Source organism: Homo sapiens, chromosome 12 (assembly GCF_000001405.40).
Source record: "Homo sapiens chromosome 12, GRCh38.p14 Primary Assembly".
Lineage (NCBI taxonomy): Eukaryota > Metazoa > Chordata > Mammalia > Primates > Hominidae > Homo > Homo sapiens.
The window spans coordinates 66,454,805-66,472,826 of record NC_000012.12 but is presented as its reverse complement, the minus strand read 5'-3'; the positions used below and the strand labels follow the sequence as shown (position 1 = coordinate 66,472,826).

At 39.7% G+C, this 18,022-nt stretch overlaps 1 protein-coding gene across 22 annotated transcripts in view; it reads left to right on the top strand.

Moving 5' to 3' along the window:
• GRIP1 (glutamate receptor interacting protein 1) overlaps positions 1-18,022 on the top strand; it is a 721,908-nt gene that overhangs the window by 596,512 nt on the left and 107,374 nt on the right. For 8 of the 22 annotated variants that reach the window (XM_005268757.5, NM_001439322.1, XM_005268754.5 and 5 more), the window contains 4 exons: positions 7,405-7,552; positions 9,734-9,903; positions 16,485-16,640; positions 17,263-17,418. In XM_005268757.5, coding sequence (XP_005268814.1) covers positions 7,405-7,552; positions 9,734-9,903; positions 16,485-16,640; positions 17,263-17,418 — 630 coding nt within the window. The remainder of the gene's footprint in view (positions 1-7,404; positions 7,553-9,733; positions 9,904-16,484; positions 16,641-17,262; positions 17,419-18,022) is intronic. The other 14 variants (NM_001379349.1, NM_001379347.1, NM_001366724.1 and 11 more) reach the window with 3 other exon arrangements.

Here is an 18,022-nt window from a genome sequence, read left to right as displayed (position 1 = left end):
GTTATGAAGACCATGGGAAAAGCGTAGTATCTGGGCTAGTGTGCACCATTCCTCACAGCACAGTCCCTCATGGCTTCCCTTGGCAAGGGGAGGGAGTTCCCCAACCCCTTGTGCTTCCTGGGTGAGGCAACGCCCCACCCTGCTTCGGCTTGCCCTTCATGGGCTGCACCCACTGTCTAACCAGTCCCAGTGAGATAAGCCATGTACCTCAGATGGAAATGCAGAAATCACCCGCCTTCTGTGTTGATCTTGCTGCGAGCTGCAGACTGGAGCTGTTCCTATTTGACCATCTTGCCAGCCACCAGATAACTCAATATTTTTGTAAGCATTTTGACCATACTATATTAAAGATTTCATTGGGCAGGAAGAGAGGAGTTGCAAACAGTATGTTAAAAAGAAAAAAGTAACTAGAAACTTCATGAGATTCAATAGAATATATTTCTTTAGTGGAATCAAGGAGTTCAGCACTACTCCCCACCTTCTTGGCATGGGATCCCAAGGGGTTACTAGAAGGAAAGAAGGAATAGTAAATGTCCATCTTTGAATCCCCACTACCTTTCAATGTGCATGGCATATAGTTGGCAGTTAGTAAATATAGTTTTTAAGTTCATGTTGTTGAATGGATGACAACTTAGAAAGTCCACTTCCATGGGACTATGAGGTGGACAGACTTCTATCCTAGCAAGAATATAATTAGGCTTCCCCAGCCTCCTGATAGTACATTAATGCTGCTGCTGATTCATCTGATGCCCAAAGCATATGGATCTGGTCCTAGTCACTTATGTAAAATGCCAGCATAAGAGTGCCTTATCACAGGGGACTTCCTTGAATTGTCTAATATCCAGCTTCTTTTCAAAACCTAAGTGAGAGAAAAGATTGACATCTAACAAAGATCCCAAGAGATATTCAGTCTGTTGACCCTGGGATCCACCTTTAGATCATGTTGACCAATACATTATCTCGTCCCATTCTAGAGACACCATCATTGATTTGCTTTTTAATCTTATATCTCAACCTTGATCAGGGAACAGATGTTGGAAACTACCTCTGCATCCTATCATAAAATGTGTTGAGGGCATTATCCATTATATCATTTACCACCATCTGTATATAAAAGCCCATGAGAGGGATATCTTTTAGAGCTCTCTGCTAGAATCATCTTTATTTCCACCATAGAGACTAGTAGACTTTCTCCTTTCCAATAGTGAGAACTGCATAATTGATTATGTTTCCTTTATTATTCAGGTTGCTGGGAAATTGAGTCATTCTTTTTATTGGAGCAAAATTCACATAACATACAATTAATCATTTTAAAGATACAATTCAGTGGCACTTAGTACATTCACAGAGTTGTGCAAATATTCCCTCTGTCTAACTCCAGCACATTTTTATCATCCCAAAAGGAAACCTTGTATCCATTAAGCAGTCATTTTTCCCTCCCCAGCAACCCTGGTAACTACTAATTGTACTTCTACTTTCTGTACCTATGGATTTACTTATAGTCCAGTGTCATGCTTGCAGTGGAGTCAAACTGCACCTCTGTTAACCCTTGTGGTAGGGCATTTGTAGACTCTTCCTGGTTGTTTCTTTGTATTACTTATTTTGTTTCAAGCAAACAGCCTCAAGATTTTTGTGTAAAGATGAGTAGAGATAAATACAAATAAGAATACCCTCCTTTTTACCTCCAGAGCCACTTGCCACCCTTCTTGCTGCTCTGCCATGACCTATATGGTCTACACTATGGGCTCTCAAGCCTTCTGGCTTCCAGTTGAGTTTGGCTAGTAGGGAATCATGGCAGTCGATCAGAGGAAGGGAGGACAATGATGAAAAGTATTACTCTCCCGACTTCGTCCTTGTGGGTTCACTGAAACTGGTCCCTTGACTGAAGGTCCCAGCTCATGTCAAGGAGCCCTCATCACTTTAGGCTTTTCTGAATCCTGGTTCTACTAGCAATTCTATTCTTTGCCTTTTCAGGCTTAGTAGGGTATGGTCCCTATTATTTCTGCCCCCAGAGTACGGTATCATCCCTTGTAGTTTCCCTATAAGCTTCTCACACCTTTCTAAATTGTTCCTTTATTAAACTCTTCTCAAGTTATCCTAATTTGAGTGTACCATGTGTTGCTTGCTGGGACCCTGACTTAAACAGCATACTCTACCCCATGGTTCTTGTTCAGCTGTCAGTCAACATAATTTGCCCAGAGTCCCCTGCAGATGAGCAGGTCTGGTAGATTCTCCTAGAGCCAAACAATGTCCTCTTCATCGTGTCCACTGCATTCACATAGGGTTCTATTAAAGTGTATAATGGGTAGGTTGACATAGTTTGCAGGTCAGGGCAGTAATCCCTGAGGATGTGACATTTGAGCAGAGCAGTTGTTAAAAAAAAAAAAAAGTAGGTGAAGGAAGGGACAGGAAGAGGTGGGGCATTCTGTGTAGAGAGAACAACATAAATGAAGGCACTGTAGCAGCGGCTGACAGCATTTTGAATGACTAAAATAGGAGTTCAGGACTGGAACAGAGAGAAGCAGGGCAGAATGGTGGAAGACAAAACTGGTGAAGGAAGCAGAAGCCAGATCATGCAGGTCCTTGTAGACCATGTTAAGAACCTGTACTCCATTACCAGAACAGCTGTGGAAAGCTTTTAAGCTTGGGATTAACGTGATGAGATATTCAATTTAAAGGATCACTCTGGATTGGGGAAGGTGAAGGGCATGAGAGGATGTGGGGAAATCAGATGATGGTAAGTTGGGCTAAGGTGGTGATCATGGAGATGGAAAGAAAGGATGAAATTGAGAGCTATTTAGGGGGTAAAATCAAGAGGAATTTATAAGGATCTGGGAGAAGATGGAGCCAGGGATGGCTCCTGGGTTTCTGGTCTGTGTGATGGAGGGCAGCGTGAACCCATCACTGGAGAAGGAAACCTGCAGAAGCAGTGGAGTAGGGTGGTCTCACTCTTCAGTTTGGGACATGTGTCAGTGTTCCTAGGAGATATCCAAAAATTGTTCTAAGTGACAGATAGGAGCTTGGGGGAATGATGTGTGCTGGATTTAAGAGTGACTGAGGTAAGTGAAACTGTGGGCTACTGAGGTGAGAGAATACAAGACTGAGCTCATGTTCTGTAGACTGTTGTCAATAAGCCCTGATTGTCTTTCATGAGATAAACATCCTCTTTTCTTCATCATTTTTTTTCTGGTTAGTTAGATTAGGACCTTACTATGATAGAATCTTGCTAGAAAGTTGTAGTTGTGCCCTGGAAACTTCTTAATGTGGAAGCTTCATATTATGTGATGTCTCTTTGAAGGTGGAAGCCATCCCTCCAAACTCAGTCTTTAAAGGATATTGTTATTGTCATACAAATATTTGAAGGTCTGAGGATTTTTATCCCACCTTCATAAACATAGTTATCAAGAATCACTTTTCTATCTAGCTACTCATCTCTTCTATTGATTGTAGGATACTGGGATTTAGATTCTAGCTACTGTATATTTTCATAAAGTTGGTTAACCTGCCTTAACTTTCTCTGGCTAGCTACTTAACTGGCATCATTATTTCTCTGTAGATTCACAGATTGTAATGACTAGGGAAATTTTATTCAAATCTCTTCATTTTACAAGTGAAGAAAATGAGGTCTAAGGGAGATGATGGCTCGGGCCACATGCTGAGTTGATGATATAGCAAGAACCACCCTCTAGCTGGTCCTCAGCTCCAGCCTTGAGCCTTGTGTAGCACCACACTGCCTCTTCCCTTAACCATGACTTTAAATTAATCTTACCTCAGAACTGTAAAGCTTTCTACTTTAAGTTTTAAAAAAGATTCATTAATTGCATATTTGCATCCCCCAAATGGAAATATTACACCTGTTGTTTTTTCAAGCCTTAATGGGGCAAGTTGTACTTAAAGAGAGACTTATTCTAGTTTCCAGTCACAGAAGCATACTGTAGAAGCTGTGGATGCTCTCTCTCACACCCTCTAAATTAATGATGGCAGAGGATCTGGCATCCTTTTCCTAAGCTTCTTAATACTCCTACTCCTATCATTTCTTTCTACCAGAACAATTTCATGTTAATTCTTCATGATCATTGGAACATTAAAACCACAAAAATATAAGTTTTAATACTTTGGCAAATATACAGGCCATGAAAAAAAAAAACTAACTTAAGGGTTTATATTTAGACACCTTTTGAATATCCTGATGACCTTTTTAAAAACTCTCATGTTTAATCATGATTTAGTACTTTTTAGAAAAATGAATACTTTGTTTGAGTATTGGGTAATGGTTGGTTGTAGTTTTATAAAATTTACATCTGCACATACCTACTTTAAATAGCCACTTCTTATAAAAACAGTTCAAGACAGATACATTGGCGCAGTCCTCTCAAATGAAAAGGCCTATTGGAATACCAATTCAGTCATTGTATCAAAGGCCCAAACTCACAATGCTCACATAAATACGATAGAAGTTTCTTTCTCAATCTCTTGAGAAATCCCTGAAGATTTTAGGAACCTAGGCTTCATCTATCTCATGGCTTGATGCCCTGGTCTGCATGGTTGAAGATGGCTTACCAGTTCTGAGCCCACATTCCACCAGCAAGGGGGAAATGAGGGAGAGGTGGGCACAGCCATTCTTTTTAAGAGCACATCCTGGAACACAGTCACATCTCACTTCCCATTGGCTGGAACCTGGTCCTATGGCTACACCTTGCTGCAAGGGAGGCTGGGAAATGTGGTTCTTAACTGGGCAGCCATTTGCTCAGCTAAAACTTAGAAACCCTATTACTGACAAAAGAAGAGAAGATGAGATATCAGGGAACACCTAGCAGTTTCTGTCATTCCTAAAAGAGATTAATAAGTAATATAGAAACTTTATCACTTTCACCTGTTAAGTAAAATAAATTTATCTTTAGACATGACAAAACCATGAGGAAAAACATAAGTGATTGTCACCCCACAAACATACCTATTAAAATCCAACAAGACCATGGAAAGTGGGTTTGAGAAATCAAAATTAGTCATTCTAAAGTTCTAGAAAGATAATGTGAGAAAAGGCCCTGGTAGGCCAGAGCTCATGTGAGGTTTGGCTGAGCAGAAAAAGGTTGCTATGCAGCGTGCTTAAGGAACAGAAGGATGATGGCTGACTGCTGGGGGTGGAGCCAGAGGCATCATATTGTGTGCACTGGGCTCAGCCACAGATCTTTGTTAAAATTGAGAGGTGGGCAAAACTAACCACCTTAGTGATAGAAGGACAACTAAAACAGAGGCTGCGGGGACTAACAAGGATTCTTTACTAGGGTCTCCTGACTAAGGCTCATGATGTGCAAACTACCATTGCACATAGCCATGGGGCCCACTCACTGAAAACTCCAAGATGAGAGTAAGGCAGGACGCACAATGACCAGGTGAGACTCTGCAGAGAAACAAAGCAGCAAATGAGGGAGAAGGAGAGAGAGAAGCCAGGACATTGTCATTGGCCCTAGTCTGATGTCAGGAGATCAGGGGAATTAATACATCAAGGTGAGCGAGAGCAGAGAGTAGCATCCACCATAGTTAGGCTTATGGGCAAATCAACCATAGGATCTGGAGTAGTTGTAATACCCCAGAGCCAAAAACTCTCCTTAATAATTAAGACCTTTGGCTCCTTGCAGATATTATTAATGAAACTCTGCTCTGGAATTGACAGGAAGAGATATAGGCCCTGATGGTCTCTTAACCTTTTTAAGGACTAACATTTCAATCTTACCAGTCAGTTAGGAAACATGGTGTTAATACATACAAGAATCCTTAGCACTGGATATGCATGTTGTTGGCCTGGATATTGTCATCTTTACTTTAATAAGTATCTTATCTCAAACTGAAGATGGCTCTCTCCCATGGACCTTTCAGCTTCATGAGTCAGTGCATATTACCTGAGCTTCAGCAATGGGAATACAGATTTCCTATTTCACTATATCTGAGTGGGGCCTTGATGACAAAGATGTTCTTGCAGAAAGGCAAAATTGTATTAATGGAGTGTCAAACATCAGAACAGTTGAAAATTAGAAAAAGATTACAGACCAATATGCAGTCTTGAAAAATGACATGACTCAAAGGCTTGAGGTCATAATATAGCAATAATGAAAATATCCTATATGTATAACAAAGTGCTTTGTTCATTGGTTTGGTTTTAATAAACACTGTGGAAAAGATACCATTGTATAGGTAAGCAAGCAGGCTTAGAAAGTTTTAGTATTGTTAATTGTCAATTTTATCAAAATACAAAAAAAGGAAAGTTTTAGTAACTAGTCTTGTCTTAGATACCATGACACAAATATTGTGAAAATGAGAATTGAATCCAGATGTTTTAATTCTGTGTCCCAGACTCTTTCCCTTGTGTCTGTGGCTCTAATGAGCTTTAAGCAACATCATGAGCTTTCTCATTTGTTCATGCATTCATTCCACAACTATTAGTGGCATACCTCTGATGTGCTAATCATTATTCTAGGCACTGAGAATGCTGTGATTGACAAGACATAGTCTCTACCTTCAAGCATGTTTACAATCTGGCAAGGAACACAGGCATGTCGTCCGTACTGGCCACTATGAACCAGTGAGATGTATGCTACAACAGCAGGAATAGAGCAGGCTGTAGAAGCACATGTGAAAAGCATCTTACCAAATTACAATTTAGGCTTCCCGAGGAATTGATGTTGGCATTGAGTATGCAAATGTTAGAAGGAGTTGAAGGAACAAAGAGTGTTCCAAGCCAAAAATAAAGCATATATGAAGTTAAGCTTTACAAATTCAACTTAGTGTAACATTCCTACTACTTGGCTAGAGACATCATCCATCCATCCATTCTTCTGATTATCTATCTACCCATCCATTCATCCTCCCATCCCTCTTGTCATTCTTTTATTTATCCACCCATCCATCCTTCTTTTCTTTCTTCCTCCCTTCCTCCCTTCCTTTCTTTCTTCTTTCCTTCCTTTCTTTTTTATATCCATCCTTTCATCCATTCATTCATCCATCCGTCTATTTATTCCTGGTAGGTGCTAAGATATTTATTGAATTAAGTAATTAATTTAAAAAACCTTTACTGAGAGACCTAGTATATGCTCGGCATTGTGCCAAGCACTGTGGAGGGGATAAAGATACATAAGATATTATCCCAAGTGACATGAAGCTTAAAATCTCATTGAAGAGATGAACATTACACATACATTAACACAATACAAGCTGAATGGAACAGGTGTGTTAAGAGGTGCCCTATGAATTTATTATTGGCTGTGGGGATATTATATGGAGGGAAATCTAAGTTTCAGTGATAAAATTAACAGGCTAACACCAAACTGAATATTCTTCATCTCTTTCTTTTGTCTCTTTGCTTATTTGTTTTATTTGTTTTGTTTTCTAAAATTTGTTCTTTGACAGACTCTGTGGCAACAGCATCCGGGCCACTACTAGTCGAAGTTGCCAAAACTCCTGGTGCCAGCCTTGGGGTTGCCCTAACTACCTCGATGTGCTGTAACAAACAAGTCATTGTCATAGACAAAATCAAATCTGCAAGTATTGCAGACAGGTAAGTATTGTAGAAAGTGCCTACTTTTCCGCCAGGCGCAGTGGCTCACGCCTGTAATCCCAACACTTTGGGAGGCCGAGGCGGGTGAATCACCTGAGGTCAGGAGTTCGAGACCAGCTTGGCCAACATGGTGAAACCCCATCTCTACTAAAAATACAAGAAATTAGCCAGTCATGGTGGCAGGTGCCTGTAATCCCAGCTACTCGGGAGGCTGAGGCATGAGAATCACTTAAACTCGCGAGGCAGAGGTTGCAGTGAGCTGAACCATTGCACTCCAGCCTGGGCAACAAGAGTGAAACTCCATCTCAAAAAAAAAAAAAGAAAGAAAGAAAGAAAGAAAGTGCCCCTTTACAAAATTGCATGTGTGCAATTTTAAATATATATACATACATATGTACACACACTTGTAATACACATATACACATGCATATACACATACACACACACACACACACAGTTCTCTTGCCAGTTTATACAGGTTTCACACACAGAAGCAAGTTACTGTTACAGGGCTTAAAAATTCACCTATGTGTCAGCCACCCCATGATGTCACTTCACGTCATCCAGATGTTTGGTGTGGCCTTTAGCAATAGAAAAAAAAATCAAGCAACTAAGCAAGTTTTCTTACTGTGTCCTAGGGCACTAGCCTGTTCTTAATGTAGGGTAGCTGAGTAGATCTTTCTTAAACCCCATGCAGAGCAGTGATGGGTTTTCCTGAATTGTTGACAATTAAATCCTGCTACCATAAAATCTGATTTCTTTGTTTCTTAAATAAATAAAACAATACTTTTTAAAATATTTTTTACAATACTTTTAAAAAGTCCTATACTCTCATAGCATGTTAATCTTAGGATTTTACAACCTTCGAGGGTGTCTTAAAACATCATTCGCTTCAATGCCACAATAAAAATGAAATTTCATGTTTCTAATTAATATTTTATACTCGTAAGGTAAAAGGGGAAGATAAAAAAAGACTACCTTTCCATCTAATTAATTATTTTACAGCTCCTGGTAAGAAAAACCTCATCTCCCATAGCTAAAGCACTCCAAGTGCAAAAAATGTGGAATTATGTTTTTAGTTGGAAGATATGACTTGAAATGCTTTTGTCTTGAGACGTAGACTATTCACACTGGGAATTTATAGATATACTGCACCTGAATGACCAGTCTCCCCTGTATGTTTCCAGCCCTCTTCTCCACGTGCCCCTCAACCTGCCTTTCCACCTCCAGCCATGGTGCAGTGAACTGCAGCAACCCCCCGTAGTGGTCAGTCTACATCTCCATTGTGGTCTTACCCAACATTCAGTCCTTATCAGTGACAGCCATTGATCCAGGGGTGTTGTGCAGTTCAATGGCACAGGATGCTTTAATTTTCTCCCTCTGTTTTTTCCCATTCCACAGGGGGTAACCAGTTTAAGGAGCTGTTCACTTGACTGGTATGTGGGGATGCTGACGACTGCGCTAGCTTTTCTTAACTCATCCAGTAGCCAGCTCTTGAGTTCAGCAAGATGTAGCAGCTAGCCCCTTCCCTGCCCCCATCTTTCCCCTTGACTCACCATGCAGGCCTGGTTTTATTACTCACTTGACTCCTGCATAATTTCTACCATTATCAAGAGCTTTTATACTAATACATGTTCAACTCCAGAATAACATAATAATAAAGAACTGGTGATCTTGGAGTTTGTGTGAGGATTCCAAGGAAGTATTACTGAAATCTCCCCAAGTTATTCTTCTTTACACATAAAATAGACCCTATTCCAATTCTGAGAGTCATGTTTGAGATTCTGAAGATTTACCCACTCATGTTTATAGATAGAAAAGCCTAGAACAAAAAAACACAGACAAAAGTCCAGGGGAAACATTTTCCTGTTTTTCCCTTTCCTCTTGCTCGCTTTCCCTCAACTTTCCACACAAGCACTCCAAAATAAGATTTTTTTTTTAAAGAAAGACAAGAGAAAACATTTCGTTGAATTTTTCTCTATTTTCCACAAGGTTTTACTTCCTTGTTCATATTCAAGGTACTTAAAATTTGGCAGATGGTGTTTCCTATAACACTCAAACTTTTCTTTTCTTTTATTTTAAGTAAATGAAAAACTGTGAAATTTTAACTATGAAGGACATGAAAGTCAGATTCCAAAGAGGAAGGCACTGCCTCTTACCGAGTATTTCTCCTTTCCGTAGATGTGGCGCATTGCATGTGGGAGATCACATCCTCTCCATCGATGGAACCAGCATGGAGTACTGTACACTTGCAGAAGCAACCCAGTTCCTGGCCAACACCACTGACCAGGTCAAGCTTGAGATCCTTCCCCATCATCAGACCCGGCTGGCCCTAAAGGGGCCCGACCATGGTGAGATGGTCCACCTGGATCAAGCTCTTTCTCTGGCCCTCACAGTGTTGCTCCCTCTAGCAGAGTTAGACAGCAGAAAGACACTGGGTCTCATTCTGCCTTTTTTTTTTTTTTTTTTTTTTGAGATGGAGTCTCACTCTGTCCCCCAGACTGGAATGCAGTAGCATGATCTCGGTTGACTCCAACCTCTGCCTCCTGGGTTCAAGCCATTCTCCTACCTCAGCCTCCCGAGTAGCTGGGATTACAGGTGACCGCCACCATGCCCAGCTAATTTTTGTATTTTTAATAGAGACAGGGTTTCACCATGTTGGTCAGACTCATCATTTCTTTTCAAAACAAGGTTATGTTTGTTTACTCTAATTCATCTTCCAAAGTCTTTTTTCTAAGCCACACATAATTTGCTTGAAACCCTAACATCGAGGAAAAAATTTTCAGGCTAGTGCTATTTGATATTTTTTTCTTAAAAAAGTCTTTGGTGCAAATTGAATGTGCAGACAAGGAAAATAATTTGACTTCCTGGTATACATTTTGAATTTCCAGCCTAGATGAAGGCCAATGAAGGCAAATAGTAAAGCTCTCACTTAAAAATAAATAAGTAAAGTGGATTTTAATAGCAGAACCTTCAAATATTTGGCAGGAATCAGAGGGAACCAGTTATATGAAGCCTTGGTTTACAATATATTATGTCTTTTGCCAGTGGAGTTTTTTTCTTAGGATAGAGAACAACCTGTCTGAGCAAACATCTTGTCTGGGAGAATCAGAATATTTAACTCCATTTATTCAATAGAAAGTGTCAGCTGAAGGTATCTGTATTTTGACTCCCTTGAAATTCACAGATACATTTGCTGGGTGTTTATACCATCTACCTAGGCACCTTTAGGCAAAACCTGGTATGAGAAAGGGGTCTTTGAGCCCCAAATCAAATGAAGTCAAGTTTTCCAGTAGGATATTTGTTCCGACTCCCTCTCCTGCCCTATTCCTTAAAGCAAACACCATTCCTTTGTACTCCTTGAAATTAGAGGCCTCACTAGTATTGTCAGGGTGGCCTGAAGGAGGATAATGCATTTCTGTATATTTAGACACAGTGCAGTTTTCTCTGAAATTGAAATTTTGCTTATGAGGGGGTCATTTGTATTGTGTCTCCCACCTTTTAAAATGCACTACACTTCTCCACAGTCTGGGGCGGGGGGAAAGAGGGACCAGATAATTTTCATACTAAATCAGTCAGCTGGATGCAACCTTTTTAATTAAATGGAGCTTAGACAGCCCTGAAGCTAATGAAAATCTCTAGTACAACATTACCCTTATCAGATTTTAATTTTACACATTGGAGTAGAGAAATGATGCAGCATAGGCAGGTTATGAAAAGAAAATCAGCATCACAGTATTGGAATAGCAATGCAAACAGCTGTAGGAAGGTGCCGTTCACAAGGATGCACACCATTCCTATCAGGAGGCCCCGTGGGCCCTTCCTGCACTCTGGCAGAGAGGAGAGATTTCTGAAGCTGTTTAAGTTTCTTTAAATTAATCGGCAGTCATCATTGGATTTGGAGCACAGTAGCCATAAGAATGTACACTGTGTAGTGCTCTCTCAGCATGGGGTTTTGCTTGCTAAATTCTGGTATCAGCGAATCGGAAATGCATACCAGACCCTTTTAAAATGTTAGCATCTTTAGTAATCTCTTTTATTTTTCTTTAATTGGCCCTATATACAATTCATAAATAATTCAAGTGTTTTCAACTCATGGAATATTAAATTTTTTAACCTGCCAAGGCAATTTGAGTTTAATTTATACACTAAAATATATGGACTAAGCACAAATTTTTTGCCTTTATTGTGGAAAACCTGATGTCGTTTGTGTTGCAGGGATAGGAAACTGATAGGAAGTTTAAGTAATTCTAGCTTCCACTTCTGACTCCATCGTCTACGTTTACTGAAAGTTGTTCACTGTCTTTCTTATCAAGCAGGTGTTTCCGTTATATTGCACATTAAAATCAGACTTGGATTTCCAAGAGGAAATAAATTTTGGCTCCTAAACATAATTAAATCATAGTAAAGAAGAAAAACAAACAAAAAATTATTATTGTGTTTACAATTCTCAAATTTTTGACTAGTGGAGTTTTACATAGTTTTACCCTTTCTCCACAAGAAAGTTCTGATTGTTTTTTCAAGATCTCTGATGCCTGAACAGTGTGTCTCTCAACACACTTCCCAAATTTCCAGATTGTGTTAGCAGTAAAGCATATACCACAGAGTTTTCAGGCCAGTGTGGAAATGAATATCTCAACTTGGGATAAGAGATTAGCTATGCCTTTCACTGATAAATAGCAGCATTAAAGAAGCTGACAGAAATGAGTTTTCAGTGAGGTTAGAAATTTTTCCCACTGAGGGTTTTCAGGAGACATAATTGGATTGAAGGAAACTGACGTTTTGGAAAGGAAAATGTGACCAGAGTCACTAGACTCGACACATTCAGTACCAGGAGGACCTTCCATTTGAGAGCTCCAGGGCAACCTGGAACCACTGTGGTCTGCTCTCTCGAACATCCTGAACAGAGTAAGAGGCTGCAATTAGAGAAAGAAGAAAGAAAAGTAACTTCTGTGGCCATATATCTCTTGAGACTGCAGTAGTGACGTCACCATGGAATGATACAAGAACCATAATATTTTAAATGTGTTGTTTTCTTATCCATAACAAGGGACTTAGACATACCCATAGGAAGAGGCGGTATGTCTGGTGGTTGAAGCGGGGACTTTAGGATCACGTGTCCAGAGCTTCACCTCTGACTCCACCACGTGGGGTCTTAAGCAAGTTACCCAACTTTTCTATACCTCAGTTGCTTCATCTGTAAAATGGGGGTCATAATAATACTTGCCTCAAAGGAATATTGTGAACATTGTCTGAGCTAATCCATGAAAAAGCACCTAGCACAGTGCCTAGTATATAATAAGTAATCAGTGAAAGTAGGCTACAATTATTGGCTTTATTAAATGAGAGAATGTCTATAAGTGCTCTTTGCAAAATGACAGGACATGCCAAAAATGTAACATCTTATTATTAAACTTTGGAAATACTTGCCTATCAAGTACACCACTGTAAAACAGAAAACATTTGGAGTGTACATTCAAAATAGGCAGCAGCTCTCTTCTCTGGCCTACATTATTTGTTCAACACCTTTTGCATTCATCATCCATGGCATACAGTTTTGTGCATTATCTTATATCATTTTTGTCTCTTAATTATTTTATATGTATGAAGATTTAATCCCCAGTAGTAATTCAAAGTCAAGGTAAATGGTATGACCTTTAACCTGCCTGTAGCAATTGGCACAGTCTGAGAAAGCAATAGCTGGTAAATAATATCTTCCTTATTGACTTATTAATTGTGCTGTACAGTCCTAACAAATGCCCAGTAATTTTCAAAGCTCTCAATGAAGAAGCGGGTCAAAAGGTGGGTGTAGAATCCCGAAGTGCATTCACCGTACCCTGGCTTCATTTGAAACACAGATGGTACTTTGTGAAAAGTACGCTAAAGTGTCGGTGGTTGTAAATTGGCCAAACACAGTAATAACTGCGTCTTGCTGAAATGTCTTCTTGTACACCCAAAGTAGAATGAGGATGGTGAGAGAGAATCCATTAGGGACATCTCCTGCAATAAATACTCTTTTGTCTCAAGGAAAATGCTGCTGCAGTGTTCACATGGACACTCTGGCTGATATTCCCGTTCATTCATGCATTTGTTTATTCATTCATTCATGTATTAGTCATTATATACCAGGCACTGTTCTAGTTGCTAGGATATATTTAGTGAGCAAGACAGGCAAAGTATATCCCTACTCTTATAGAATTCACATTCTAGTACAGACAGACAAACATTAAAAATATATTAAATAAATAAAGCTGTTTCAGACAGCAATAAGTACCATGAAGAATGTAAAACAGTAATGAGATAGCATGGGGAGGGCAGCTCCTTCAGCCAGGGAGATCAGCAACAACTTCTCTGAGGAGGTGGCACCTCGGGTGAGACCTGAATGATGAGAAGGAGGCAGTCATACAAACAACTGGGGAAAGAACAGCAAGTGCAAAGGCCTTGAGGCAGGAAGGAACCTGACTTGTTCTAAGAGTAGACATAAGATCAGTGTGGCTAAAATATACAAATGATGGGTAGAGTGATATGGATGAAACTAGAGAGATAGGCAGGGGCTGCCTTTGATTCTCTTTGTAATAGTTAGCTATTCAGGCCCGGCGCAGTGGCTCATGCCTGTAATCCCAGCACTTTGGGAGGCCGAGGCAGGCGGATCACCTGAGGTCGGGAGTTTGAGACCAGCCTGGCTAACATGGCAAAACCCCATCTCTACCAAAAATACAAAAATTAGCTGGGCGTGGTGGTGGGCACCTATAATCCCAGCTACTGGGTAGGGTGAGGTGAGAGAATCACTTGAACCTGAGAGGCAGAGTTTGCAGTGAGCTGAGATTGCACCATTGCACTCCATCCTGAGTGACAAGAGTGAAACTCTGTCTCAAAAGAAAAAAAAAGTAACCTATTCAAACAGGAGTGGCATGATCTAACTTATATATTTAGAAGGCCACCCTAGCTATGTTGTGGAAGGTAGGTATGCAGGAGATGAGTTGGGAAGCCATGTCTGAAGGTGTTACAGTGGCCTAGATGAAGGAGGTGGCAGCTTGAAGTAGGAAAGTGGAGAGAGAGGGGGAATCCAAACCACAAACAGGGCAGTTGAGTAGAAGGAGCAGACCAGATGGTTTAGGGTAACAAAATTATAGTGGCTATGAAAGTTTCTGCTGCAGATTTCTGAGAAATTCTCTAAACTTAAATGTCCAACGAGTGAAATTTGTTGAGTGAAAAATAAATTTATTTCCTTTAAAAGATACTTTATTGTTGGCACGTAAATGGAAAAGTAGACAAATCAATATACTCTAAACTCATTTGTTTTTATTCTGTGTGCCAGCACCATGCTAAGCACCGTATTTGCCTAATTCTCAATATCCCTGTGAGGTAGATGATTTCATGATCTCCATTTGACGTATGAGGAAATTCAGGTTTAGAGTGGCTGAGTAGCTGGCCAAGGTCATACAAAGAGGAAGGGCTGGAGGCAGAGCTGAAACCCAGGTCTGCTTCACCCCGCAGTGATCTGTCCGTGCTAGTGCTTTTTTTTTCATGTCCTGTTTCATTCTAGAAAGGATGCGAATTGACCAATTCAGCTGGCATCACAGTTGATGTAACTTAAGTTCTTATCTAAACGACTGTCCTTTCAATGCATAGAGTATTTCACCTCTCTACATATTCACTTGTAAGACACCTAACACCAAAATCATGAAAGTAGAAGGAGATATAAATTCATATGTTAAGTCAGGCATGGTGGCTCATGCCTTAATCCCAACAACTCAGGGCTGAGGTAGAAGGATCACTTGAGACCAGCTTGGGCAACATAGGCAGACCCTCATTTCTACACAAATAAAATAATAAAAAATTAGCTGGGTGTGGTGGCGTGGGCCTGTAGTGCCAGCTACTCAGGAGGCTGAGGCGGGAGGATTGCCTGAACCCAGGAATTCAAGATTACAGTGAGCTATGATCACACCACTGCACTCCAGCCTGGGTGACACAGCAAGACCCCATCTCTAGAAAAATAAAATAAGTTCATATGTTATTTTGAGTTCTTTAAGATTATTAAATGAAAAACTTCATATCAGACATAATAACAAACATTATATTGCTCATATTTCAGAACACTGGGTGGAATATCAAATCTTAATATTGAAGCTAGAATGGAAACATGATAAAGATTTTCTAAAACATAAAAGGGACGGCAATTTGAAATTTTAATAAAGTTTGAAATAAACTTTATTAAAATTTTATGGCATCAAGGAAATATAAAAACGTGAAATATTTTAATAATTATTTCTAATGTAAATATGCTTTTTCAAAAAATCATAAAATATAGAGACTTTTATCTTCTCCTTATTAGTCGAGATACAGATAAGATTCTGATACTGATAGATGATTAGAGTGGTTTATTGTTGAGGAAAATCAAGTCCAAGTGATGGATTGTAGTGCAATTAAAATGTCAGAGCAGTAAATTCTGATGTGTGACTAGTAAACCACTTGAATCATGCACCAACGTGATTTATTGCTCTTTCTTTTCTTTTTCTCAAAACAAGTGCTACTAACTGGCCAAGATTTGCAAATCTTTAATTACTAATTGTGTGCCATAGATCTTTGAGGGGCTGACTTTTAAGTTAAAAAAAATGTTCTTAATCTCAGCTGCAAAGCACTGAGGGAGATTAGAAATTGATTCAATAGTCATCTTAAAAGAAGAAAAAACGAGCTGAGGAAAGATATGCATTATTCTTGGGAAGATGAAAAGTTTACATCCTTTATGTTAATCATCTATTTTGCTGACCACTGAGAAAAGGGCAAAGCCAAGTAGATTTGTTTTTATTTGCAAGCAGCTTTCTTTTTTGTTATACTTTTAATTTGGGCAATTCAGTTATTTTTCCTCTTTTTTGGTTCTTTGTTTGTTCGTTTGTTTTTCTTATTTTTCATCATCACTTCATATGGGCAGTGAAAATTCAGAGGAGCGACAGGCAACTTACCTGGGATTCCTGGGCCAGCAACCACAGCAGCCTTCACACCAACCATCACTATAACACGTACCACCCTGACCATTGCAGAGTACCAGCCCTGACATTCCCGAAAGCACCTCCTCCAAACAGCCCTCGTAATGTTCCATGCTTTCTCCTCCTGGTCTTTTATTTCAATTATATTTTTCTCACACTCTCCTTTTCTCATCTTTGGCTTCATGGATGTTGTTTTTTCTGTTTCTTATAGTAGCAATTTATCATTTCTGACATCTCCTAGGTTTTTTTCTTTTCCATCAGAAAGCATTTGTTGTTAGGAAAGGATGTAAATGTTCAGAATGCTTTATATGTGGCTCAGGAAGTAACAATTCAGAATATTATACAGAGACAATGTTCTCAGGTCTTCTTTGTATATGTGGAATCACTTATGAAATTCATGTCAGAAAATATGAAAATGAGATTATGTATCTGATGCATTGAGTTGTTCATGGACAAAGTTGTTCTTTTGTTTGTTTAAAGCAATTCTCACAGAGTCTCTTTGTGTTCCTATGAGCTTATAAAGATCCTGCTGCCCCTCAGCATTTGTAGGCTCTTGTAAAGCATTGTCTCATGCTCCTGAGAGCTGGCCTCTAGCTGGCTGGGGTCCTTCCTAGCCATTGCTATGCATCATGTGTGTCTTTCTGGATTGTTACTGGTTGACAAGTGTGGCGGGCTCACACCTCACCTGAGAGTGCTCTGTGCAACGTCTTCACTCTCTTGCAGCAGCTTTGGTGTCTTCATCCTTCTCTCCTACCTCCATGAGTGCATACAGCCTGAGTTCCCTGAACATGGGGACTCTACCTCGAAGCCTCTACTCCACCAGCCCACGTGGAACCATGATGAGGAGGAGACTGAAAAAGAAAGACTTCAAAAGCTCATGTAAGTGAAATGACAGCCAATGGCATTTGGCCTGGAAAAAACCTGTGGGCAATGGAGCCTTGAAAATACCGAAATTGTGGGAAGAGTGTTTCACAGTTGCTTAAGTGATCAGGTAGATGCTGAGCAGCTAACAGCTCTGTGCCAAAGACCGTTGACACGATACCCAGTATCTGTTTGGCAATGACTGCACCCCAATTTAACTTCAGACTGAATTCATTCATACTACCTTTGCCTACAACTTTTTATTTGAGATTTGAGATTTTTCTTGCTCTTTTGATGTCATAACATACCCAAAGATATGATTTTTCCTTTAAGACTCCTTTTATTATATTCTGGGTGGCTTTGGACATGAAACCTTTGTTCTTAGTTTCTTACTCATTCTAAAGAAATTTTGTGAAAACGATGCTCCCCTTTTGATAAATATAAGATTCTCATGCATTCATTTAATGTTGTCATAAATTTTATACTAAATTATATTTTGTTACCCTCCTCCCCAAAACAATGATAAATATGAACATTCCCTTTTAAACTATATCTCATTCCCCAAGACTCCAATACTTTTTCCAGAAGCCTACCCCACTGGTAATCAGTGATCTAACATACA